Below are 26,124 nucleotides of genomic sequence, written 5' to 3'. Positions count from 1 at the left end.
CCTATTTTGGGAACAAAAGGATAATTATATATTAGGAAATGAGATCTATTAAGATAACTTATCACATTTATGTCTGAAAAATGAACATATGATCATCCCAATGGATGTCCAAGAGACATTTAATAACATTCAATACCAACTTCTAAAACATTAGTCAAATAGGACCCGTGTCCTTTAGTATGTTAAAGAATATCTGACTCAAAGTCACAGCCAATATCTGACTTGATGATATCACAACAGTGAAACTTATATTAGGATCAGGATGAAGAGAAAGATGCCCACTCTTCACTTAGATAGAAGACGTTAAGACCTGGTGTTTGATAGACAAGGAGGTGACTATAGTTAACATTAATAGTTTGTACATTTAAAAATAGCTAGAAGACAGCAATTCGATTGTTTCTAATGTAAAGATAAATATTTCAGGTGATGGATATCCCAATTACTCTGATTTGATTATATAAATGTATTAAATTATCATACGTACTGCAAACGTTTGTACAGCTATTATGTATCAATAAAAATAAATTAATTGATTTTAAAAAGCCATAAATATCTAGCAAATTACTCTTAATCGTGGCTTAGAGCTTGATAGATACTTAATAAAAGGCATAATGTTGAACTTCCTACTGAATAAAAAAGAAAGATGCCCACTCGGAACCCTCATTTAATACCTGAGAACGGTAAGGCCAAAGCAATAAATAAGGCAGGTGGAGAAATGAGATATGATTAAATTACTGTCTTTGTGTGTCTAAAAATTCCAACGGAATGTACTGCAAAAAATAGGCTATTATAAGAGTTTAGAAAGATGATCATTTGTAAAATACAATCATTTATAAAATAAACAAATATACAAATATAAATATCCAGAAACAATCTGTTAAAAATATAATATAAATAAAAAGAAAGATTCAGTCTAAGAAAACTAGACCTCTAATGAAGACAAGTGATTTTGCTGAGGACTTAATACAAAAAATTTTAAAGTAAAGAGAAAAGCATTTTTCCTGTGACAGAAAAACTAAAAATTAAAAAGGTGTCAGTTTTTGTCAGATAAATTTATAAAGTTAATATGATTTTAAAAATAGTTTTTTTTTAGTAGTCAAGGAAAACATAATACAGTTAAATTAAGTTTATTTGAAATAAGAATTCCACTGGCAATGGCAAAAAAGGAATTGAAAATTAATAGTAGTAAAGGAGAATCACCACTTCCAGGTATTAATCCATATTATAAAATACAGTAAAAACAGTGAGTTATTGCATCCAGGAAGGCAGACAAATTTATTAATGGAAAAGATACAAAGTGAAAAAATGGGTCTGAATTAACAACAACAATGAAAAAGGCTGTATCTATTAACGTGTAATTCCAGTTCAGTGGGATGATTGTTTAGGATGAAAAAAAAGGATTGATCTCACTGAGACTATGGACCAAAATTAAATTTTGATGGTTGAAAAGGTTAAATAAAAAAGAAACCATGAGAAAAATGGGAGCACAAGGCTTTCATCCTGGGGTGAGGAGGCTGTAATCATACAAGTAAACCAAGAACTTTTAATTAAACATTAATCAGCCTGACCTGATCCACTGAATTGTCTCTGTTTCACAAAAGACAATATACCCTTTAAATAAAAAGTGCTGTTATAAATCAACAAGAAAATTGACGATAGTCCTGAATATGTAATTCATAAAAGCAGAAATACAAAAACCAAGAAACATATTTTAAAAAGTTCAACCTTAATAATGATTCAAGAAATGAATTTAAAATAACAGTGAAATAACACATTTTTGTCTGGTTTAATTATTATTATTATTTAACGATAATACTTAACCAAGATCGCAAATGAGAGGCCACGTCATATTAAACATTGCTGACAGCGGAGTAATGTAGCACAACATTTTTTACAGACAATTTGGCAATATTCATAAAGGTACTTAAACTGTTCACATCTTTTAACGTTAGTAATTCTGTTTTTAAAATATTTTCCAAAAGAAATTTAGGGAATAGAAATAAGTTTTTAGCGAATTGTGAAATATGCTTAGTATGCAGCTATTGAAATTCATGTCTCTCTATGGCACTTAGGTGAGTGTGTGTTTATATATGTATATATGAATATATATGTATTTATTTTAAATGAGTAGTTACATAAAAAAAGCATTTATATGTAGACAAAAAAGACATAGATTACAAAGCTAAAAGTCAACACTGTGGAATCTCTGAGTTGGTAGCATTCCTGGCAGTTTGTTTTTAAAATACTTACTGAATTTTCCATTATTTTCAAAATAAATATGTATTATCTTAAAAAGCATAAAAATTTTTGTTTGAAAAATAATGCAAAGCCTGTAGAAATAAAGATCCATTTACAGAATAATTGAAGAACATGTCTCGATTTTCAAAATTCACTTTTTTTATGCATTGATATTCCCTTCATTGAAATTTGCTTTTATTTATTTTTTCAGTGAAGTCTGGCAATTTTCTCTCCCCCAATTATGTAAGAATGGTTTTTGGACACTTGGCAATGTGAGTTCATAGCAGAATGGGAACAAGCATGTACTTACCCATTGTCTGGAAATTAAGTGCCACCATCTGACAACCTGCATTCCAGAAGAGCTGAGGCATATAGTTGGATGAATCCACACGTGTTCCTTTTGGATATATCCTGCTAAGCTGCATTTTGTTATATCTGGACCATCATGTTAAGTAGTGAATACAATTATAAAAATATTTAGTCAATAATAGTAACTAAGAAGCTACCTTCCATCTTTCTCCATTTGGAAAATGAAGTAAATATTGATGATCTCGTTGGGCTACTTTGGGATATTTAGTGTTAATTTTATGAAAGAAATTAAATAGGCTGTTTCATTTTATTTCACTTCATGCATAATAGCAAAAATTTTTGTTGTCAGTAATATCAAATATGCAAAAAGCTTTCTAAACAAACAGAATAAGTATGCTCTTATCACATAGGCATAGCATCACCTTTGCAGAGCCCCGTGGGTAAAAGTCAATGGGGTAGCAAAAAGTGGCTGAGCCAAAGTCAATGTGATTTTGTGGAGAGTATTAAGGACAGACTTAATGACTAAGGACACACAAGGAGGCTGGAATGTGTTAAATCATTTGAAAGAATGATATTGTGTTTGGCAGAAGTAGATAATATGCACTGTATAGCTATTTTTGAAATGCTGTCTGCTAATTTTTATTAATTTTCTCTGGGAATGCTATTTGCCAAGACTGTGGTACTCTTTATAATTGATAGCAAGGTCAATGTACCATGGAAGTTTCTGATCTTGCTTAATATTTTGGTTCCTATCATTATCAGTTTTCTATCCTAAGAATCTTGTAGTTGTTGGACCATGCTATGTCTTTAAAACATGACTGACTAGTTCCTATCACCAAGTTAGGTGAAGGTTGGTTAGGGTTCTGAGCTAGGCAAAATGAAATTGAACCTCAACTCTCAAACTTGCTAGCTGAATAACCTTGGACAAATTATTTTGTCTTTCTGTGACTCAGTCTCCTCATCTATAAAATAGATTTAACAATTTCTATGTCATAGGACTATTGTGAGGATTAAATGAGATAAGACAAGATCTATCACACAGTCAATAAGGAATACTAACGATGATAATTTTCTAGCAGGACTTTATTTATGGAGTCAACATTTGTTTCTTCTTCCACTGATGAATTTTAAAGGTTAACTTTATTCTGGGACTTATTACATGAAATTGAGCACTTTGTGATATTTACTGTTAATTTTATGAAAGAAATTTAATAGCCTGTTTCACTTTATTTTAGTTCATGGATAGTAGCAAAAATTTTTGTTGTCAGTAATATCAATAAATCCAGTCTTAGTAATGTATATTTATATTTACAATGTCATCATCATCATCCCTACTATTTGGACATATAGTACATATAAGTATGTGAGATGCCAAGTCAGGTATATATTTCTTTACATATATCTTATATATGTGTAAAGTATGCACACTCATGTTACATATGTTGTACCTAATCCAAAGAGCAAACCATAAAGCTAGTATAATTATTTCTGCTTTATAGACAAGGAAAGTCAGGATTAAGCAAATTGCCTAAAGACACAGAGCTTGGTGGTGTGAAGGCAACCTTGAAATCTACGCTTCCTTTATTCCAAGACCAGTTTTTTGTTCTATAGGCCAGACTACCCCGCCCAGCATTGTATATGATACCTGAAACTATTTATCCGCCCCAGGCTATATACTTAAGCCATTTTATGCATCTTTCTCCTTATTAAAAAACCAAATGAACAAATAGCACAAGACTTCAGCTGTGTTCATTCTGCAGTCATTCGTCAAATCAAGGATACTCTACAAATTCCACTGGAGACTTGGTGAGTTGTTCAAGTCCTTTGGTTTCCACGAAGGAAGACATTTCAAAACTTTTATTTCTTTCTGAGTTAAGCAACAACAAAACAAAAAAGGGGAAGGTGAGAAATACAATTCATTGTTATAAATTATAACATTATAAAAGAAATGGGTAAATATTCAGTGAAGTTGAGGGCAAATAATCCTCAATGTAATTTCAATATTTAATTTTTTTTTCTAGTGCACTATTTACCTGTAACAAAAGTTGAGTCTTGTTAGTTGTCTTTTCTAACGTTTGCTACTTGGGTCAGAGCTACTTATGCTTTTGTAATTTAGGGACATGAATGAATTCTAGATGAGTATAGTGTGGCAATAAAAAAATTTGTCAAAAGAGCAGGGACCCCGTGGGAATCTTTTGTTCTAAATTCACCCAGATTTTTTTCTTAGGGCCAATATGGGGTTTAACAAAAGAGACCATGGGAATGTTTGTGCTAGGTGCTGACTATCTCTTTCATACCCACATTGCCACCTTATCAGTTTGTATATACTTTTTTGGTTCAAATAACTAATATGACAGAATTATGGTCTTTCAAAACAGAAAGGTCCTTGGAAATTTTCCAGTCTCATGGCTTCATTTTCATATTAGATACATGATATGGCTTGGGTGTGTCCCCACACAAAATCTCCTTGAATTGTAATACCCACAGTGTCAAGGGGGGGTTACCAAGTGGGGGTAATTGAATTATGGGCGTGGTTCCCCTGTGTTGTTCTCATGATAATGCATTAGTCTCATGAGAGCTGATGGTTTTATAAGCATCTGGCATTTCCCTTGCCTGTACTCATTCTCTCTCCTGCTGCCCTGTGAAGAGGTGCCTTCCGCCTCATGATTGTTGTTTCCTGAGGTCTCCCCAGCCATGCAGAACTGTGAGTCAACTAAACCTCTTTTCTTTACAAATTACCCAGTCTCGGATATTTCTTCATAGCAGCACGAGAATGGACTAATAAAGTATAAAATAAAATAGAGGCCAGAGAGGAGGATGTGCTAAACACAAGAGAAACATTTTGAAAGTGAAATTCAAGCCTCCAATTAGAGTGAGAGAAAGAAAACAAAGTTATCTTAGTTTAGAAAGACCGAGAATCACTTTCTCTACCCTCATCCCCACTAAAAACCAACAATTATGAGCAGTATTTTAGATAAGTATAGCACAGGGTGGTTATATAGCTCTGAATTTTTTTAAACTGAGTTATCTTTGAGATATTTTCCCTCTTTGACCTCTCTTTCGAAATTAAAACCTCGTTCTTCTTAATGATTTCCAGGCTTCGTCATCCATCTTCTCACCTTCTCCAATCCACTCTAAGGCAAACCTTGGCTTCTCTTATTTTGGTCCATCATAAATCTACCTTTATATGACTTATTAAATTAAGCATAACTATTAATTAAAATTCAGTCAACATTAATAGGTACTTGGTAAAATATGTTGAATATTCTTTTTTCAAGGTTATAAAATGATATTAAACACAAGGAGAAAAGTGCTTGTTTGTGAGTCTAGCTGGTGCTGTTGTTTCCAGGTTCTGAAGAATCTAAATATATTGGCTCTTTCTCACACTTGGCTACTTGTCTTGGAACTTTTAACTAATGAGTTAGAGAAACTCATTGCAGCCAATGAAATTACAGTGATATAAAAATAACTACGCTAGGATGTTTCAAAGAAAACAACTTGTAAGAAACATCAGAAATTAGGACATCGAATTCAATGTTGAGAAATCATTATATATAAACTCTTGGAAGTTGAATTCTTTGTTGTAGAGATCTAGGTTGCATATACCACTAAGTGAAGACTTTTTGTAAGATTATACAAATATAAACAAGCGTGTTTGGTAGAGGCTTGGATTTTGATATAGCTGCAAAGCCATCCTTGATTAGAAGCTAGTACATTTAGGCAAATTTCTGTTTTTAAGGGTACACCCTTATAAGTGGCTAGTAAGTTTCAAGGATTCCCTTAATCTGATAGCATCTTACGCTTCATGCAAATACAAGGGGCATTTTCATAAAAGAACCCTTTTGTCTGGGTAAAGATGATATTTTTCTTTGCACAAGTATGGATGTATAGTTGAATAAAGGGAAAACACAAAGTGATGTGAAGTTAATGCATTTTCTTCTAAATATATACATGTGATGGACAAATGGAATATAGATAAATTGGTTCTATTTCTAATTATCAGGGTTCATCAAGTCTCTGCCTGCTTCCCTTCTGGGAAACAGGTAGATAGTTTATTTCAACATTATCACTTATGTAACAGATGGATCTCACTGTGTGTTGCGAACAAAAAGCAAAGTACAATTCCCAATTAGTTGTACTCTGGTCATGTGTCTTTCCGATAGCCATGTATGGCCTGTAGCCCTATTAAATATTTTTGGAGAACACCATAGAATACTTTCTCATATGGTTATTTTTATATATTACAATACATGCATATTTATTATATGTGTAAAGTAACAAGGCAGTCAAAATGTACATATATTTAAGACTTCAAAAGCATAAATCTCTCTATTAAGGGTAACATTCTTTGGTCCCATTACTCCGTATTTAAAATATAATCATTATATGCTGCAAGAGGGGTTTTTCTCCAGGGAAAACTTACTTTTTGAAATTTCAAATGACTCAAACTTGACTGGCTGAATATAGTTCACCAGATTAGACATTTCTTCTGTGGCCATAGCCTCACTTCCAGCAGTCCCCTGGAAGTAGGAATAAAAAAGAAAACATTTCCAGAGTCAGCATTATATTATCAGTTATTTTCCCAGGAAAATGACAACATGATTCAAGCATGCAGAAAATCATCCCTCCCTTTCTGAAAATTACAAAATGAAAATTCATTACAGGAGAAAGGCAACAGCAACACCTCATTTTATAAAAGGGAGGGAGGAAGGGAGGTGGGAGGTTGAATGGTGGCTGGCAGCATGGCCCCAACATAATCACTCCCTATCCCCTGCCCCCTCCTTTCCATTTAGAAATGCCTGATCTTAGCCCCTCTGCAGGCCTCAGACTCAGATCCTGCATTTTACTAAGGTCATTGGAATGCCCATCAAAGTTTGAGAAGCACTGAGCTATAGCTCATCTTCCATTGCAGGGTGTCCATAGGTGTTGTCTAAGGTTAGTAATTTTTTTTAACATTTATTTTAAATTCAGGGCTACACGTGCAGGTTTTTTTTTTTATATAAATAAACTTATGTCACTGGGGTTTGTTGTGCAGATTATTTTGTCACCCGGGTATTAAGCCTGGCATCCATTAGTTATTTTTCCTGATCCTCTCCCTCCTCCCACCTCCACCCGCAGGTAGGCCCCATGTCCCTTTATGTGTCCATGTGTTCTCATCGGATTCGTAAATTAAGAATTCACTGTACAATAAGAAAATTGTTAGGTAGGTGACCACCAAATGAAGGGAAAATTGATAATAATAATAAAAAGATTGCTTTGTGGAAATGGGCAGGGGTGGGTAAACAACTGCTTTCCTTCATCAACATTCTTCCCTCCCTCCCTTCTTGGCTCCTGATGTGTCTTAGACAAGCAGGAAAGCATAGTGCAGGGATTAATGGCTCGCGTTCTAGAGCCAGCCTGCCTGATTTCGAATCCCAAGTCCACTAGTTAGAAACCGGGCAACCTTGGGCAACTTACTTAATTGCTCTGTGCCTCACTTGACTCATTTGTAAAATTAGGATAAAATCAGTTCCTACAGCATATAGGGGTTTTTGATTAAAAAATAAGTTAATTTATGTGAAGGAGCTTAGAACAGTGCCTGGCAAGTGGTACTACAATCTCATGTTGCTTTTGCTATTATTAGCTATGACATATTACTTTGATAGAGTTTTTAATGAAAAAGAAAACCAATAATGCAGTGTTGGCACAAAATGGGCCTCTGTAGAGTGATCTAATATTGTCTCACATTTTTAGAAGAGAGAATGCATGGAGATGAGTTTCTTTTAAAAATTCTGGTAGTAATATTTGGGTCAAATGTTAACTGGGAAACATTCATTTGCAAATGGACTATCCAATTAGTAAGAGAGTTTAAAAATTATTTAGAATCACTGATCAGAAATTATACACAATTGAAATCATTCTCAGGAACATATACTTTGCCAGACATGGTAAGCTGTTTTCCTCCTGGAAATCAAAAATTGAAATGTAGTGAGGGAACATAATTAAGCAAAACTTTAGACATTAAAAAATAATTCTAAGAGGAAGGACATCAAGTAAGAGCAGCTTATTTTTTGTTTCATTTTTACTAAATTGTAGAGCTACAAGCGTTGAGACAGAACATATCTAACAAATTTGAAAGCAGATTCAATATAAACTTTAAAATACGTATTTTTAAAGAGAGACAGTGTCTTGCTCTGTTTTCTAAGCTGGAGCACAGTGGTGTGATCATAGCTCACTGCAGCTTCAAATTTTTGGACTCAAGCCATCCTCCTGCCTCAGCCTCCCTAGTAGCTGGAACTACAGGTGTACACCACTGCACCTGGATGTGTTTTATCTTTCATTTTAACTTGTTTTTTTAAAGGCGTGAGGTCTCTCTCTGTTGCCCAGATTGTTTCAGTATAAACTTTTGGTAAGACAAAATTCTAAAATTCCAGTTGATCTGCTTCTGATTCTCTTCTAGGTTCTGTGCAATTAATATTTTTGAGCTAATCAAGTTACTCGGGATGCCTAAGTTTATATAAATAGGTAGCTCTAGTGTTCCAAAATTAAAACAATGCAATGAATGTCACAGTTCTGATCATTTTTCTAAACGCCATATCTTCTCCGGATTGTGGAACATTTCATAAGCCATTTAATTGCCTCAAAAATTGAAGCTGGCAATTGGAAGGCACAAATCTACTTTTTGCCACTAGATGGCAGAAAGTGACCATGAGACAGACCCAGGAGAGTACAGGGTGGTGGAATGCCTTAGGGACCAGAAGCCCTAAGTACCCACCTCATCCATTGAAGATTTTTTACAGTCATCATCATCATCGTCGTCGTCACTTTCCGTATCAGCTTCTCCTGTCAAATTTTAATAACAGATCATCATGTCACCATTTCAACATTTAGCTTTACAGCATTTGTAACACATATTTTACCTAAAATCAATTACAGATTTCCTTGGAAGTTGGGCTGTTTAAAATTATTTTTTTCAAGGATTTAAATTTTATTCGTTATAGAAAATTATACTGACATTTTGAATATAGATTTTTTCCTAAACTGGATTTGTTAATAAATAGCACTTAAAATTTCAAAATTCTATTAAAAAATGCGTGTCAATATTTTTTCTCTATATGTTTTTAAACACGTGGCATTGAAAACAGTTTGCTGGCATTTAATACAGTTTGCTTTCTATGGTACATGTATTCTATTTTGATATACAAACACTCTCTCAGGGTCTCTATGACCCCGAAAACAGATATACTATCTATCCCTCCTTCATCTTTCCCTCCTTTCCCAAGCCGCGACTCTTCCATGCAATGCGTGGCCAGCACATAGCTCAGTGATCTTGTGTTGACATTTTTCCCAAGGCCAGAGAGGACCTTGCAGAAGTCAAAGAAGTTAGGAGCTGGGGCAGGAACTCTGGGGCTTTGGCAGCAAAGTCACTACATAAAAATCGTGAAGGGCCAACTTTATCCTATGATTTGTCTGCAAGCTTATTTGATGGATGTATTGTCATCACAACGAAGTGCATATCGTAGAAAATGCTGATATTATTTTTAAGAGGGCAGGATAACATGGGTAAGTCCTTAAATATCAGCATGATTGGAAATCTAACTCCATCAGAAATAATTCAGCTTCATATGTAGCCAATATACACTCATTTAAATGAATTGTTTTTCCCCTGAAGAATTAATGGACATTTCTGCTAGGTTAAATATTCATATCAGTATGAAGCATTACATTCTTCCATAGCTATGGGCTTCAGTCAGACCCAGAAATATCCGTTATATAAAAAAGATTTTCAAGTAAAAAGTCAGCGAGGTTGTTCTAAATGGTTCGAAAGTTCTAAATTGATTTAACTACTATCTTTCAGGGCTCACACAATGCAATAGCACGATGAGCCCAATAGATGGCAATAATGGTTCAACAATGAAGTAACTTGCACCCCTGCCCACTGCCAGCCTTCTGAAAGTTAGCTGCCCTACTCGATTTATATAAATGGAGACAGTACCACTGCACTGTCCTCTGAGAAGCTTATAAAAGTTTTCATTTGGCTGACACAGTTCAATTACTGAATGACAGTAGTGAAAAAAGTATTGCTTAAAAATCTCCAGGGGAAAAAAGATTTCTGGGACCAGCAAGGGTTTTTATGTATTGGATTGTTTATTAAGGAAAGCCACATACAACCACTTTATAATGCTGATATTGTGTTAGTTAATAAGGTGAATCGATTATATTTTGGATAGAAAACGTATCTTACTACAATATTAGAGACACATTCTTTTAGGGTATTGCCACTTAAGCATTTTTATAATGAAATTTTTGTCCCAAGTTCTTATTACCTTTTTTTTTTAAAAAAAAAAAATCAGAGAGGGGATTCTTTTAATTAAATAATTAAAAAATTGTTTGGCAGAGCTTTCTATAAAATACTTCATGGGACCCAACAATTCGCAGTCATTTCAAATAGCCAATCAGGTCATTCTTTAGTGTCTGTGGGAAAGAAAGAATTTGTCTTTCTTTACTGTAAAAAGCAGAAACCTGATTTTTCTCCTGTAAATCTTTGGAGGGATGTTGGGGGAATCTTGTTGAACTATAAAAAATATCTTAGGTTACCCTAGTTCCTTAGGACAAGTCTACTAGCAAAGGGCTGAATCCTGCAAGAGGCATCTGGCCAACAGGGGCCATGATAAGTAAACTAGCTTTGAAATACAATACCTGTCACGTTTTTCAAGTTACTTGAGTTCCCAGTACTGTGAACATCTACGAACCAAATGGTAAATTAGCGGTGCTCTTTATTCAGGTACCTACATATTAAAATGTCCAAAAGTTTCCACTGATTGCATAATAGACAACAGGGCTAGCTTAGGAAATCTACTGAATAACTAACAGATTGTTGCCCTTTCTCTATATTAAGCAATAATGTTCACTGCCTGTAAAAATCGTCATTTGTGTTATGCATCCTGTTAATAAGAGGCAGAGAACTGGTAGTGGGAAAGGCAGATGGTAAAAAACACAAGCACCCACATGCAAAGGAAGACAAGGTTTGCTTGCTATCATTCAACGGATAGAGTTGTGTTAGGAAATAGGTGTGAATGAAAGGCCTGTTAATGATACTCACTTCCAAACTTCAAAGAGAACATTTTTACTGAGTACAGAAATTATTTTTGAAAAAATGTTGAAAGACATGCACAATAATGATGAAAGTACACATTCAAAAGCTACAGGACAAAACCCTTTCAAAGAATTATATAACGTCTGTTGATAAAGATTTTAATCGAAACAATAAAAAAACAGGCAATTGAGACAGAAAAATAGAAGAAAAGATAAATCAGAGTCTCAGGCTACTTTTTTTTAACCCTGATTGTCCTAGAGTTTATATTTTAATTATTTTAAAATCTTATAACTGATGTATAACAGGCGTACAGAAAAGTACACGTCGTAAGTCCACAGTGCAAAGAATTTTCACCAAATAAACGTGTCTGAGTAAATGATATCCAGATCAAGAAACAAAATATAACCAATCTCTAGAAGGCTCTTGGGCTCCCTGCTGGTTGCTTTTCTTCCAAGGGAACCCATTATCCTGACTTCTAATAAATAGCATAAATTAGTTTTGCCTGTTTTTGTGTGTTATATAGGTTAAATCATACAGTATGTAGTTTTTGTGTACCTGACTTCCTTTGCTCAATATTATGTTTATTTATAGTGATTCATCCATAGTTTTCATTTAGTTATAGATTATTCTCATGGCTGCATATTCTTTCTTTGTGTGAATATACCATAATTCATTTATCTGTTGACGAGTATTTGGTGTCCAGTATTTGGCTATTCTGAATACCTCTGCTTTAAGCAATTCTTGTACGTGTCTCTTGGTAAACCTAAATACACATCTTTAGCAAGCATATACCTAGGAATGGAACTCCCGAGGTACAGGGAGTGCATATATTCAGCTTTTGTAGACACTGCTAAGTAGTTTTCCAATTGATTGTTCCTATGTTTAACTTATAACTGAAAAACTTCCTACAGTCAAGCTTAAAAGTTTCTTCCACTTAATCACCCTGCAATCAGGAGATGTCTATAATGCGATTTTCAGATTGCCAAGCTTCTGACTGAACTTGGAAGATAAATCAGACTAAATGACAAATAATCCCAAGGAAATGAGTGCCACTGAATTCTTTTCTCATCAACCACAGCAATCTATTTCACCCTTAATTTAAAAGGAAAAGAAATGATATTAGGCATCCTCTAGGAGCTTCAAAAGATAATTTAAGTAATTTTGCCATGTCACAGATTTTAAAAAGTTCTTTAAAACATGAAAAAATTGAAATGCCCAGAACTCTTCAGCATATCATCAATGACAATGCATCCAGTGCTCAGTTCTATAGTTAATATTTCCCATTATGAAGCTTAAAGTCATATGGTCACTCTGAAGACTATTTGGCTTACATGGTAGCCAGAATAATGACCTCCCAGAGATGTCTCTGCTCCATGAATATGTTAGCTTGCATGATAAAAGGGACATTGCAGGTGAGATGGAGTTAAAGACCTTGACATGGGAGCAATTATCCTGGATTATCTGGATGGATCCAATGTAATGACTTGAGTTCTTGCCAGCAGAGGACATTTCCTGCCTGTGGTCAGAGGGAGATGTGACCACAGGAGAAAGGTTAGTGAAATGCAGCCTTGCTGGCTTTGAAGCTGGAAGGAGCCCCAAGCCAACGAATGTGGGTGGCCTCTAGAAGCTGGAAAAAGCAAGGAAACAGCTTCTCCCTTAGCGCCTCCAGGAAGGAACACAGCCCGGCTGACACCTGGAGTGTAGCCCAGTGAAACCCAGGGGGCTTCCTGACTTACAGGACTAGAGGATAATACATTTGTGCTGGTTTAAGCCGCTAAGTTTGTAGCAGCAAGAGAAAACCAGTAGTTCAAAACTGTGCAGAAATAGGAATGTTCAAAGTCCTTCTAAGCTAATTTCAGAGCAGCAAATTCTTTTTTTTTTGAGACGGAGTCTCACTCTGTCACCAGGCTGGAGTGCAGTGGCTGGATCTTGTCTTACTGCAACATCTGCCTCCTAGGTTCAAGCGATTCTCCTGCCTCAGCCTCCCGAGTAGCTGGGACTACAGGTACGTGCCACTATGCCCAGATAATTTTTGTATTTTTGCAAGAGACAGGATTTCACCATGTTGGCCACCAAAGACACGGGGTTTCACCATGTTGGCCAGGATGGTCTCGAACTCCTGACCTCATAATCCACCTGCCTCAGCCTCCAAAAGTAGTAGTATTACAGGCATGAGCCACCACGCACAGCCCAGAGCAGCAATTCTTAAACCAACACAAAACATGACGGGGAGAGCCCACCAGCCCCTCACCGGCTCCTGGGGATGAGGGCTCGAACATGCTGGAGGAGTCACTGTAGGTGTTGGAGGCTTGTTCTGAGAGCTTCTTTTTGCCGCTTCCTTCTGATGACTTGTGTGATTTCTTCTTATTTTTCACCAAAATTTTATACATTAAATCCATAGGGCTTGGAAGAGGAACTCCAGATTCCAGCTAATAGAAATGAAAGGCATATTCTTTAAAAATACTGCTCCCTCTTTCAGATCCCCTCCCCAGACCCCCAGATCAGCTGTGGATACCAAATGTCTAGACTTCTTCCCTACCTTCAACACTGCTCATTAAACTCTTAGTGTATCTTACATGGGAGCTAATTTTTTTTTATATCAAAGATATATTTTCATTACTATACTTTTTTTTTCAACATATTCTACATGAAGAAGACCATAGAAATGTACTGGTAGATTTGATGTACTAAATCTGAACATTTATGAATTTTCCAATGGAACATAGAAACCCAATCATCTTGATTTAGGACAGATAAGAAGGCCCTGGCCTGAATTTTTGAAGGAGGGAAGCCAGGCATCTGCCAGGAGGAGTTGGTAAAGACGGGCAGAAGCTTCCAGGTGAGCCCATGAAATCATTTTTTCAGATGCCCCTTAAAATCAGCAAAATCCCCATCCTGGTACTAGGTAGTTTAGCTGCACGTCCCTGGCATCAACAGAAGTGGATGAGGTGGCTTCAGATTTCCTCCCAGCCCTAAGATTCAAGCTACCACATTTGCAAGCCTTATTTTGACTGTTTCAAGTTTGTACATCTAACGGGAAAATCAATTTCCCATGAGGGGGTCATTAGATATTGTATCAGAGAGCATGTGTGCAAGCCACAAGATAGGTTACTTTAAGAAAATCTATAGAATGCCTAAGTTAGTCCTCTATTCTTGGCTTGCAATGAGCGGAGGGACTGGTATAAACTCACTTACAAATGCATGGAGATTGGGCAAAAGGGTGCGGGAAGGAAAATGCTACTTTAGGATATTTCTGCTGCTTTCCTTCCCAAAGCAGAGATATCATCAATGCAATGGGCGACCTGAGTTGTGCCACACCAAAAGGTGCATCCAAGGAAATAGAGAACAGCCAGCAGGGACAGGCCAAGAAGACATTGTGCCACCTGCAGTGTCCTGTTTTGCCAATCCATTCATCTCAAAGAGGTGTGACGAGGTTCCCTGGGAGTGAGCAGAGGCCTGTCCTCTTGGACTGTCTCTATGGGCTGATTGTAATTGTTGGGAAATCTGCACTCTTGATTGAGTTTCATCAGGCAGCCAGCGAGAGAGAAGAGTGTGGGAAGAGGAAGAGTGCAGAGGCATTCCTCTACCCTTAGTGGGGCCCATTGCTGGTATCCTCCTTGTCAAAGATTTCATCACCAACTGCATTAATCTTACCAAGAAACATAAATATGAAAAGGAAGTAAGTTTTCCCTCAACCTCATTCATCAATAATGCATACATTCCTTCAAGGACAAACATCAGAACTGCTTACTGGATATTTTTCCAGGGGCTCCATGAGAAGGGCATCCCCAAAGATCAGTCGGCAGTACTCCGCCATCTTGGCTTGCTGCTTTGGGCTAAGGGAGAACAAGAACAGAAGAAGGAAAGTAGGGAGGCTTATCCAAAGAACCTGAACAGGATTGCTTTGTGTTATTAACTACAGAAAGAAGTAATTCTCTAATCCCACCCATCAGGATTGGTTTTTATCATCCTGGATCTTTATCTTAACTTATGTGAATTTGAATAACATACACAGATGGACAGCGAAGGCACTGATGTGTGAGGTGGTTCCCAAGGCAGACCTGCATAGACATAGGTGGAGGGGACAGCATGTCATTTGCTGTAACTGGAGCCTTGAAATTCCCAGAGTTAGAGGCTCAGTCCCTTTTGTTTAACTCGCTGATTCCAAGTCAATTGCAAGACACTTGGAGAAAGAACCCTTTCATATTTCCATGTAAATTATCAAGTGAAATTTGTAAACCACTGCTGCAAAGGAGTGTTTATGAGGAGATGAAAGAGGATAGATAAGGAAGGATGGCAGGGAGGGAGCTGAATAGGGAAAGAGAGACAACGGAGAGAGAAAAAGAGAGGGAGAGAATCTCAAAATGTAGAAAAGGGCAGACAGGCAAACAGTGTGTCCACTTGGGGAGGGGGTCCTGGAGGAAAGATAAAAGTAGCAGGCACCTTGGGGAAAGGTGTGTGCAACTCATATATACATAACAGAATAGCAAAGGTGGTATCATTCTGAATATATTGCCAGTAGGGACCTGGTATAATGGAAAAAGGCTGGCACTGCAGGGTTTGCTGAGCTGAGCGACAGGGTCTGAACCACTCTGGGTCTATAAAATGAGGAGAATAATAACCGTTCTTGGAAAGGGACAGAGGGTGCTGAGAAGATGAAATGAAGTAATGGATGCAAACGCCTTTGAAACATTAAAAGAGCAGGGCAAATGTAAGATGATTCCACTGTTACAAGGCGGCGTCCGCCAGCTAGACTAGACAAATCCTACGCCCAGTAACTTGTAAACACAGCTGATATAGGGGAACATTCATATTGTTTCAATGCTACTGCTTCCCTTGACCTTTCAAAAAGCAATAATTTTTTTTCTCATTTCGTGGAATGTTAAATATCATTACAAAGTTATCCAGTTCCTTTGGGTTTTATGGATTTTGAATTTGATCTACAGTCTGTCGAACTTGATTTCCAATAGTTATCTCTACATGCTGCAATGATAATACATTTTAGCAGGACTGTGACTGTACTAAGAATAAGTAACAGCGATGAAAATCCTTCTTGACGAAAATTCAAATTGATCATAAAATGTGATTCTTATTCTTATTTTCATTCCCTTTTCCATGAATGTTTAAGCCTGGATCATGGGCTTTTTTTTTTTTTACTGGGGTTAGGGGGTTGGTATTGACGGTTCAAATCATATTGAAATGGTCCACAGGAAAAGTCACTATTTTGTATTCATTTTTTTCTTTTTAAAAAACCAAGTGTGTGCTTTGGGTGGAAAGTGAGTTCTCTGGCATTTGAATATGAAACCCCAAAGTCACTGCTTTCTTGGAACTGCAGGGAGAGGCTAAGGAGAGATTCAAAGGATTTGCAAAGTCCTCCACAGCAACCGTGCCCCTTCTCACCAGGCCTCTCTTGGTCTGTATGGGAGCTTACTAAATGGCTTATGCGGCCATCAGAATACACTGCCACATTCCTCAGCAGTATTAGGGAGAGAAGAAAAACTGCTAATCAGAGAATTGATCCTGAAAAGCATTGGAGGTCGTTGCTGAAGGACAAGTCATTAGAAACTGTGTCTATGAGACCTTTGGGAGCAGGCAGAGAAGTGGCTGATTTGGTAGGGCCAGCCCCGGGCATCCCTGGGTTCAAGTCTTCTTCCTCCAGTGATAACTTGCACAGGGGTTCTACCAGGTCAGCCTGCTCTGTGGCTGCTGCTGATAAGAAGTACAGTTGTGCTGGGACGACATGTTCCAGAGTGCACTAAAGAAATGGCCAAACCCTCCATTTCCCTTTCACAGAAAGATGCTACTCAGTATCATGGAGCTTTACTTCTCCAAGTGTGGCCCCTGAACCATCAGCAGAATCACACCAGGAGCTTGTTAGAAATGCAGATTCTGAATCAGAGACTCCGGGACAGTGGAGTCCAGGAGTCTGCATCATAACAAGCCCTCTTGATTCTGGTGTGTGTTCAAGCTTGAAAACCACTGCGATTGATTAAGGTAAGTCAGCATGTGCCAAAGTAGATGACATTTTTCCTGACTGTTGGAAATTGGGAGCCCCGAATTATCTTTGATCAAACACCTGGAGTGAAAGCAGGGCATTTTACCTGAATGCCCTGCTCTCAGGATTTTCCAGGGAACCATATTCTTTCCATTAGAGGAATTTAAGGGAGATGTCCCAAATATCCCCAAACAGGTGTCCTCTGTCAGGAAGTCCCCAAATCAGGCCCAGATAAAGATTTTACTGGAGCCATGATTATCACTCAATTCCACTAAGGAATCACCTGAGCTGTTAATGCTGCAGGTGACAGGATCAAGTCCACAGTCCCCTGATTCATGTAGCTGGGACCAAAGCCCCGGAACATGCATTTTAAGCCAGACTGCAGATAATTCTGATGCAGGTGGTTAATAAACCATGGTGGTTACAGCTTAGCTCTTCTATTTCATTCACGTTACCTGGGGTCTTATTAAAATGAAGAGTCCAACACAGAGTCCAGGGTGGGGTACAGGACTCAGCTGCAGCTCTAACTTGCTCTCCAGTGATGCAGATGCTGCTGGTCTGAGGACCACACTTTTAAGAACAAGAATCTATGTCTAATGTAGACGTTTAGAACCTGCCTGAGGGCTGGGTATGGTGGCTCACGTCTGTAATCCCAGCCCTTTGGGATGCCGAGGCAGGCAGATCACCTGAGGTCAGGAGTTCGAGATCGGCCTGGCCAACATGGTGAAATCCTGTCTCTACTAAAAATGCAAAAGTTTGCCAGTTGTGGTGGTGCGTGCCTGTAATACCAGCTACTTAGGAGGCAGGAGAATCGCTTGAATCTGGGAGGTGGAGGTTGCAGTAAGCCGAGATTGCACCACTGCACTCCTGCCTGGGTGACAGAGTGAGACCCTCAAACCAAACAAACAAACAAAAACAAAAACAAAACCTGCCTCAGAATCAACTGAGATGGACAGAACAAGAGGTAGGTGTCCTAGCAAAAAGTAAAATGAGCTATTTGGTAATCAGGCTATTCATGTTCTCAATAAACATGCACACCCACCTGATGGAACTAAATCAGAGCAGAGAGCAAATTGAATTGAAAAAGTCAGAGGAAAACAAACCAACTTTAATTGCAGGTCAGAACTGCAGAAATAAAAGGCATTAAAATTGCAATTAGCAAAAAACAAAATCCTGAAGTGTTTAGAGCATCAATATCAGCTACCATGGGGACAAAGTGAGAGGGAAAAAAAATCACAAATGCATTTTGAGCTTCAGGTCATAGCAGACATTTCTGAGCATAATAAAATACTCCCAAGGTGTGAGCGTCTGGGGCAGAGGTCAGTTTTTCTGACCGAGGAACTCACTTGATTTCTTGGGAGCAAATCCTCCAGTTTGAACTAAACCAACCTCTTTCCCTATAAAGGAGGAATCTGCAATCCATGGAAATTAAGAACCTTGTTCAAAATTTCACAGCTTTCTGTGGCTGAACATGGGTAAAGATTACTTCCATTGAATTTGGTGTAGAATTCTTTTTATAAAAGTGTTAGTTCACAAGTAGGATGTCAGAGTCAAGTAGGGCTTTTAAAAATATATTTTCAAGTCTTATTTCTAGAAATTCTCAGTCAGGGTAAGGGTGTAGCTCAGGAATCTGCATTTTGAAGACACTTCATGGGATTCTGATGTAGCAACAGGATACATTGAAAGCAGCTAATAGCAGATTCCCTTTTATTGTCTATGGATAGGTGACTTCAGATATTGGGAGAGAAAACCAGAAGTTTCAGTGGCTTTTCTCATTTTTTCTTTCTTTTTTAATTAATTTAGTTTTTTTGAGACAAAGTCTCACTCTGTCACCCAGGCTGGAGTGCAGTGGCGTGATCTCAGCTCACTGCAGCCTCTGCCTCCCAGGTTCAAGCGATTCTCCTGCCTCAGCCTCCTGAGTAACTGGGACTGTAGGCACCCGCCATAACACCTGTTTTGTATTTGTAGTAGAGACTGGATTTCACAATGTTGGCCAGGATGGTCTCGATCTCCTGACCTCATGATCCACCAGTCTCGGCCTCCCAAAGTGCTGGGATTACAGGCGTGAGCCACCGTGCCCTGTCCTTTTCTCCTTTTTTCTAGTATAAATTTGTTTTGGACGTGTGGCCCAAGTGAGCTGGGACCAGAGTTCTGAATCTGAAATTCCATACATGCAGCACACAGGGAAATAAAATAGTTCATCAGAGATGGCAAATAGGTGTCAGATGTCTTGCTGGTCTAGTCTGAGGTCACTGTGTTGAGAAGGATTCTGAGGTTATTTCTAGGGTTAGTGGGAAAGAGTGCTGCTACTGCCTACCATGGGCTCAGGAACTAGATGAAGTGGCTCACAAGTCAAGCACGGGGTTTTACCAGCGAAGGGAAAGCTTATCGGTTTTCTTTGGGTGTGTGCTAGCCTCCCAGGAAAGAATGGTGGCTGAACAATTTTGATATCTGAAGGACAAGGGAAATATGAAGCAAGCAACTCCCACCCACTTCCTCCACAATAGAATTTTATCTTTTAGTATTTCACTGCCATTACATTATCTCAGTGGCTTGGGACACAATCATGGCATCCTGGAAAGGCTGTTTTCCTGTTTTCTTTTGTCACATAGAAATTATTAATGAACTTTTAATAGCTAAATTTATCATTTTTAAGCCCATAAGGGCAGTACAATGGCACTAGTCTCTTTGCCTTTAGGCACAGTGCAGAAATTAGTTTTCATGTCCAGTTTTTGATCTCTAAATGACTAGTGTGAAGAACTGCAAAACACATCTTGTGTTTAAGGGTTACAAGCCACAGAGGCAAACATTTGCTGGCCATTGCCTGGTGGATGCTCTCGTTGTCTGAATTTGATGTTTTGAAGGCTCCTGATGCTTCTGTTTAGGCGTAGGAGATGTGTTGGTTAAAAGTGTGCATTTTGAAGCCACACTAACTGGATTGGAATCCCATCTCTGTCATGTTTTAGTTACATGGCCTTGAGCAAGTTATTCATCCTCTTTAGGACTCAGTTCCATCATCTGTAAAATGGCGATAATCATAATATTTACTCTTAGAAGCACCTGGGTTTGTGGTAAGGCTTACATGAGCTGAGGCATGTAAAATATTTCAAAAACTGCTTGGCACAAAAAATGTTTAATAAATGTTCGCTATTAATAAAGGTTAGCTATTATGTTGGTGGTGGTGGTGGCGGTTGATATTTTTCTGGCTATGCCAAGGGGAAGCTCAGTGTAGCAGGTGTGACAATATAGAATGGAACCATAGCCTTTCATTTTGTCTAATTTAAATAGAAACTTCTCTTTAAGAACATAAGTATGCCAATCCCAGCACTTTGGGAGGCCGAGGTGGGCGGATCACCTGAGGTCGGGAGTTCGAGACTAGCCTGACCAACATGGAGAATCCCCGTGTCTACTAAAAATACAAAATTAGCTGAGCATGGTGGTGCATGCCTGTAATCCCAGCTACTCGGAAGGCTGAGGCAGGAGAATTGCTTGAACTCGGGAGATGGAGGTTGCAGTGAACCAGGATTGTGCCATGGCACTCCAGCCTGGGCAACAAGAGTGAAACTCCGCTTCAGAAAAAAAAAAAAAAAAAAAAAAAAAAAGCATCCTCAAGTCGAAACTATAATACCTGAAAGAAAAGTGCTCAAGTATTGTGATATGGTTTGAATCTGCATCCCTGCCCAAATCTCATGTCAAATTGTAACCCCCGATGTTGGAAGTGGGGCCTGGTGGGAGGTGATTGGATCATGGGGGAGATTTCTTATGGTGTAACACCATTCCCCTTGGTACTGTTGTTGCGATAGTGAGTTCTCATGAGATCTGGTTGTTTAAAAGTGTGTGACACCTCCCCACTCTCTCTTAGTTCTCCTCCTGCCATGTAAGACACCTGCTCCCACTCTGTCTTCCCGTGAGTAAAAAGCTCTCTGAGGACTCCCCAGGAGCAGATGCCACCATGCTTCCTGTACAGCCTGTGGAACTGTGAGCCAATTAAACCTCTTTTCTTCATAAATTACCCAGTCTCTTACCCAGGCATTTCTTTATAGCAGTACAAGAATGGACTCATACGTATTGTTACAGGCCAATTATAAATGAATTGACAGAGATGAGAAATTGTTTAACAGAGTCAATTGCAAAGCAGAACCTAGTTGCAAAGCAAACTAGGTATTAAATACTGCTTCTAGAGATGCCCCTTTGAGTAAGAACAGAAATAGCATGGAACAGAATAAATTCCTTTCTCTTCCTTTGACCCTCAGAAGCGTTGGAGAAACTATGTGCCAAAGGATTACATCATTCATTGGATGATTGTTGCATAATGAAGCAGAACCACAAGCCGGTAAATATAATATGGATTTCTGGCGGGCAAACTGAAAAAATACAGATAATTATAAAATTGTCACATTTAACTACTTAGAAATTCTTCAAGTTGAAATTTGCCCATGACCAATCTGCATCTTTAAGATCTAGTGAACTCTTTAAGAATTAGAGAATTGAAGCACATGTTACAAATTACTTGGACAAAGAGGCTCAGTGACCTGGGAAAGACTCCCAATAGGAAGGAGGGTAAAAAGAAACTCGTAATCCAAATTAGGACAGGTGCTGCTGGCTTTTAGTTGAAAAATCTGGCTTAGGTTCCTGAAATGAAAGAGAGGCTTTCATTCAATATGGATAAGAATCTTTCATTCTGAAGCTCTTTAAAGTAACTACATGATAAACTAATATACATCTATTAGATATAAATGTGTCTCTCTTTGGTAATGTGTGATAAAATGAATATAAAACAGTGAAGTCAAAATAACCTTTTCTTTGTGTAGCTCAGCAATACATGCAGGCTATTTTGAAATTGGCAAATACAAATATTAACAAACAGGGGAAAGCCAGTGAAAAGGGGGAATATGGAGATTTGCTGAACTGAGTTCTGTGTAAGTGCAAATTGGTAAAATGGAATTCACAGCTCTCCCCCCACCTGCCACAAAGTGATGAAGTGGACTCAAATTGTGTGCAATAGAAGGAGCTAATGAAGAAGGGTTATAAAAGTGGCCCACAGCACCCCAAATCTATAACAGAGACATGTATTGTGTAGAAAAATGTGTTCCACTGCATTGCAAAAAGAAGAGTTTTTAATTTAAAAACCATACTATGGTATGAAAATAGATCCTACAAGTCCAACGGATAATTTTAATGTTGATTATTTTAAGTGAATTCCATCACCTACAAATGAAAACATGCCAGTTAATATACAACATGATTGAAGAACACCATTAATCATGTCAAATAATCTTAAATCTGATAAACAATTACTCAGTATGCCCTATTCGGGAAAAAGACTCATTCCTGAATGTGTTGAATACTTACGAATCCACATGGTTCTCAAACGAAAGGAGAATTGGAAAAGGTGAAGTCTTAAATGCACACTCCGCAATTGCTTCTATCACTTCCTAAAAATGAGAACACATGTATATTCAGTATGCCAGAATTTTTCATCTGTATATTCTTGAAAGGTATTAAATCTATTAATATAGTTGTCTTTTCCATTCAGAGAATTGTATCGAATGGCCTGAAATGGCTAGAAGGGATTTTGAGGGCTGCTGGACGGTGCTAATTCTGACTCTTGATTCTGGAAAGTTATAAGAAGATTGGATTTTGGTGGAGGGGAGAGAGAAATGCAAAGGAGAGGATTCTCCTGTTTGCTAATTGTATCTATTTTTTAATAATCAAAGAAATCTAATCATATTATAAACATTTGGGACAGTAAGAGAAGGCAAAAATTTTCACCCACAAATCCACTTTCTGAACCAAACCATTGTTAGCATTTCATTATATTCACTTCTAGTCTGTCTCTCATGTATTTATGTAGCTTAGTTTTAATTACAGTATATACTCAACTTGTATTTTTAAAAAGCTTTGTTATTGAGATGTGACTTTTTTGAGATATAATCTGCCCATTGAAAGTGTACAGTTCAATGGTTTTTAGTATATTCAGAGAGTCATGCGAGCACCATCCCAATATAAGTTAGAACATTTTTATCGCCTCAAAAAGAAACCATGTACCCACTAGCAGTCACTCCTCATTCCTGCACCCCACCCCACACACCTAGTCCCAGGCAATCATTCATCACTTTATGTATTCATAGATTTGCCTATTCTAATTATTTCATATAAATGTAACCATACAATATATGGTTGTTTGTGCCGACCACCTTTCACTTAGCATGGTTTCAAAGTTCATCCATGTTGTAACATGTATCAGTACTTCAATTTTCAATCTGCATTTTTAAAAATGTATATGTCACAAGTTTCAATATATGTACAAAATTCTAGAAAGTAAAGGTATTAAAATTGATTTAACCATTCCCCAACTGTTGGACAGCTACATTTTCAGAGCTGTCATTCAAATAATTCTACAGAGAACAGCTTCATTTTTTCCCTAATATCTTGATTGATTTTCTGGGAATGAATTCTCAGAAGGGGAATTCTTGATTTAAGAATATGAATACTCTTACAGTCCCTCATGTATTTCAAATTACTTTTCACTTTAGATTGCCCAGAGTAATGCATGCAGGACCAGATTTCAATGCATATTCACCAGTTTTGGGCATTATTCTTAAAAATGTTTTTCTTATTTAACTGGTAGTAAAGTGCAGTCTCATTTATTGTTTAATTATATCACTTTCAGTAGTAGTGAGGTTGCATATTCCCATACACTTGTTTTTAGTTACATTTATTTTTTTCATATTCTCCTTTTAAATAGGGATTTCCACTCCTATTCTTTATGCCTGAGCCTTTTCTGCTATCGTCTCTACCTTCCCCATTCAATATATAGCGTTCTTTATATCCACTCCTGAAAGCTATTTCCCTGGCCCCAGAGTATAAGTAAGGCTTTCTAATTCTGTACTACATTTGCATATATCCTCTAAGAAGGATTTGCCTGCATGGAGCGAGAAGAATCACTTTTACTGTTTCTTAGAAATGAACTCACAGATTATCTTTCATACATAATCAGTTTAACTTTTACGATAGTTGAGTCTGTCAAAAAAAGCAAGCACTATAAAAGGCAAGCAACATCCAGATTTTAAATGCTATATTTGATTTATTTGAGTATAGGCTTTGGATTCAAACCGACTTTTGAATCCTTGCCTCTGAGATTTGCAAGCTGTGTGACCTTGGGAAAATCACTTAATGCCTCTGTGTATTGGTTTGCTAATCTATAAAGTGCAATAAACCTCACTTCACAGATCTGTTGTGAAGATGCAGCAAGAGAAGGCAAAGGACTCAGCTCATGATGGTTATCTATTCTTGATTCAACTAAGGTGCAGAGATATTAACTGACTTACCTTAAGTCATAGAGAAGAGAATCCAAGATTAAACCCCAGGAAGATTTGTCTGACTCTAGAGCTTATTAATACCCAACCATTGCAGTAACTTCCATGCAGCTAATAATCTTAGCCAGCTAAGAGCAAAGCCCTCAAAAGAACTGAGAATAGAGGTCATCAAGGATGTGGATGCTAAGTGTGGAAAAAAAGGGCTGGATTTTGTTTATTTCATAAATTTGGCACTAGTGTATCAGGTAAAGGATAAATACAGTAGAGCCATTCTCGCCTCCTCTCCTTCTCTCACACCTTTCAATTCATCAGCAATCTTGTCCAAAATAGGTCCCGAGTACAGTCAAGTGTCAGCACCTCCACTGCTATCATCCTGATACAAAAACCACTGCAGTGACTGCTGTGGTAGATTTTATCACCATTCCCACGTATTTGCTTCCCCCTTCCTTTGGGAGAATTCTGTCTACACACCCTGTTGACCATAGGCTTGGCCGTGGTTTTATTTTGGCCAAGGGCCTGTGTATGAAAATGACATGTGCTGCTGCTGAGTAGAGTCTTAAAGACCCATCATGTTGTTGTCCAGCCATTTCTCTTTCTCTTCTCCCATGAGTCCAGTGATATCATAGATGTGGGTTGTTCTTTCAACATGAATTCCAAACAATAGCAATCAGAGCAACAGCTGACATCTAACCTGTGTGAGAAGTAAACCGTTGTGGTTGTAAATCACTGTGATCCTAGGGTTTCTTCTTATTGCAGCAAAACCTAGGAGAAGCTGACTGACAGTCTTTTTATTGCTTTCCTGGCTTCTAGTACTTGCCGCTGTATTCCACACCATAGCCAGAGTCATTGCTCCTAAACATGAGTAGACAGTTTCGCTCCTTTCTATAAACTTTCCAATGACCTCCCATTTCACATGGAATGAAATCCAAATTCATTATCATAATCTACACAGCCTAACTTGATCTGGCACCTGCCATTTCTTTAAATACATCTCTTTTTCCTCTCCCTCTCTGTCACCTGGATACAGTCCATTGATCTTGTTGCTTTTCCTTGAATACATCAAGCATGCTTTCATCTCACCATCTTTGCACTTTGTTCCTTCAGTCAAAAATACTCACATTAAAGCATGATTTACTGCATTGATTTGGGAGTAAGTACAGCACCTGTGCCTAAACATCACCTTACCA

The 26,124-nt window shown here is 37.8% G+C and overlaps 1 protein-coding gene across 2 annotated transcripts in view, besides 2 other annotated features; it reads right to left on the bottom strand.

Annotated features, from left to right (window-relative positions):
• Nucleotides 1-26,124, bottom strand: part of PLCB1 (phospholipase C beta 1) — a 752,635-nt gene that overhangs the window by 153,178 nt on the left and 573,333 nt on the right. For both annotated transcript variants that reach the window (NM_182734.3, NM_015192.4), the window contains exons 12-18: nt 22,971-23,053; nt 15,375-15,459; nt 13,875-14,052; nt 9,302-9,369; nt 6,971-7,067; nt 4,330-4,414; nt 2,549-2,673 (exon numbers count right to left, since the gene is read on the bottom strand). In NM_182734.3, the coding sequence (NP_877398.1) occupies nt 2,549-2,673; nt 4,330-4,414; nt 6,971-7,067; nt 9,302-9,369; nt 13,875-14,052; nt 15,375-15,459; nt 22,971-23,053 (721 nt within the window). The remainder of the gene's footprint in view (nt 1-2,548; nt 2,674-4,329; nt 4,415-6,970; nt 7,068-9,301; nt 9,370-13,874; nt 14,053-15,374; nt 15,460-22,970; nt 23,054-26,124) is intronic.
• Nucleotides 9,256-9,305: a silencer, noted in NCBI's record as "silent region_12669". NCBI's record gives its function as "represses an Ori minimal core promoter by ATAC-STARR-seq in GM12878 lymphoblastoid cells {active_cell/tissue: GM12878}" and the evidence as "EXISTENCE:reporter gene assay evidence [ECO:0000049][PMID:35858748]".
• Nucleotides 10,307-10,601: a silencer, noted in NCBI's record as "tiled region #15406; K562 Repressive non-DNase unmatched - State 13:Ctcf". NCBI's record gives its function as "represses a minimal TATA promoter and a strong SV40 promoter by Sharpr-MPRA in K562 cells {active_cell/tissue: K562}" and the evidence as "EXISTENCE:reporter gene assay evidence [ECO:0000049][PMID:27701403]".

Source organism: Homo sapiens, chromosome 20, assembly GCF_000001405.40.
Source record: "Homo sapiens chromosome 20, GRCh38.p14 Primary Assembly".
NCBI classification, from domain to species: Eukaryota; Metazoa; Chordata; class Mammalia; order Primates; family Hominidae; genus Homo; species Homo sapiens.
The sequence above is the reverse complement of the archived record's forward strand: the minus strand, read 5'-3'. Positions and strand labels throughout refer to the sequence as shown.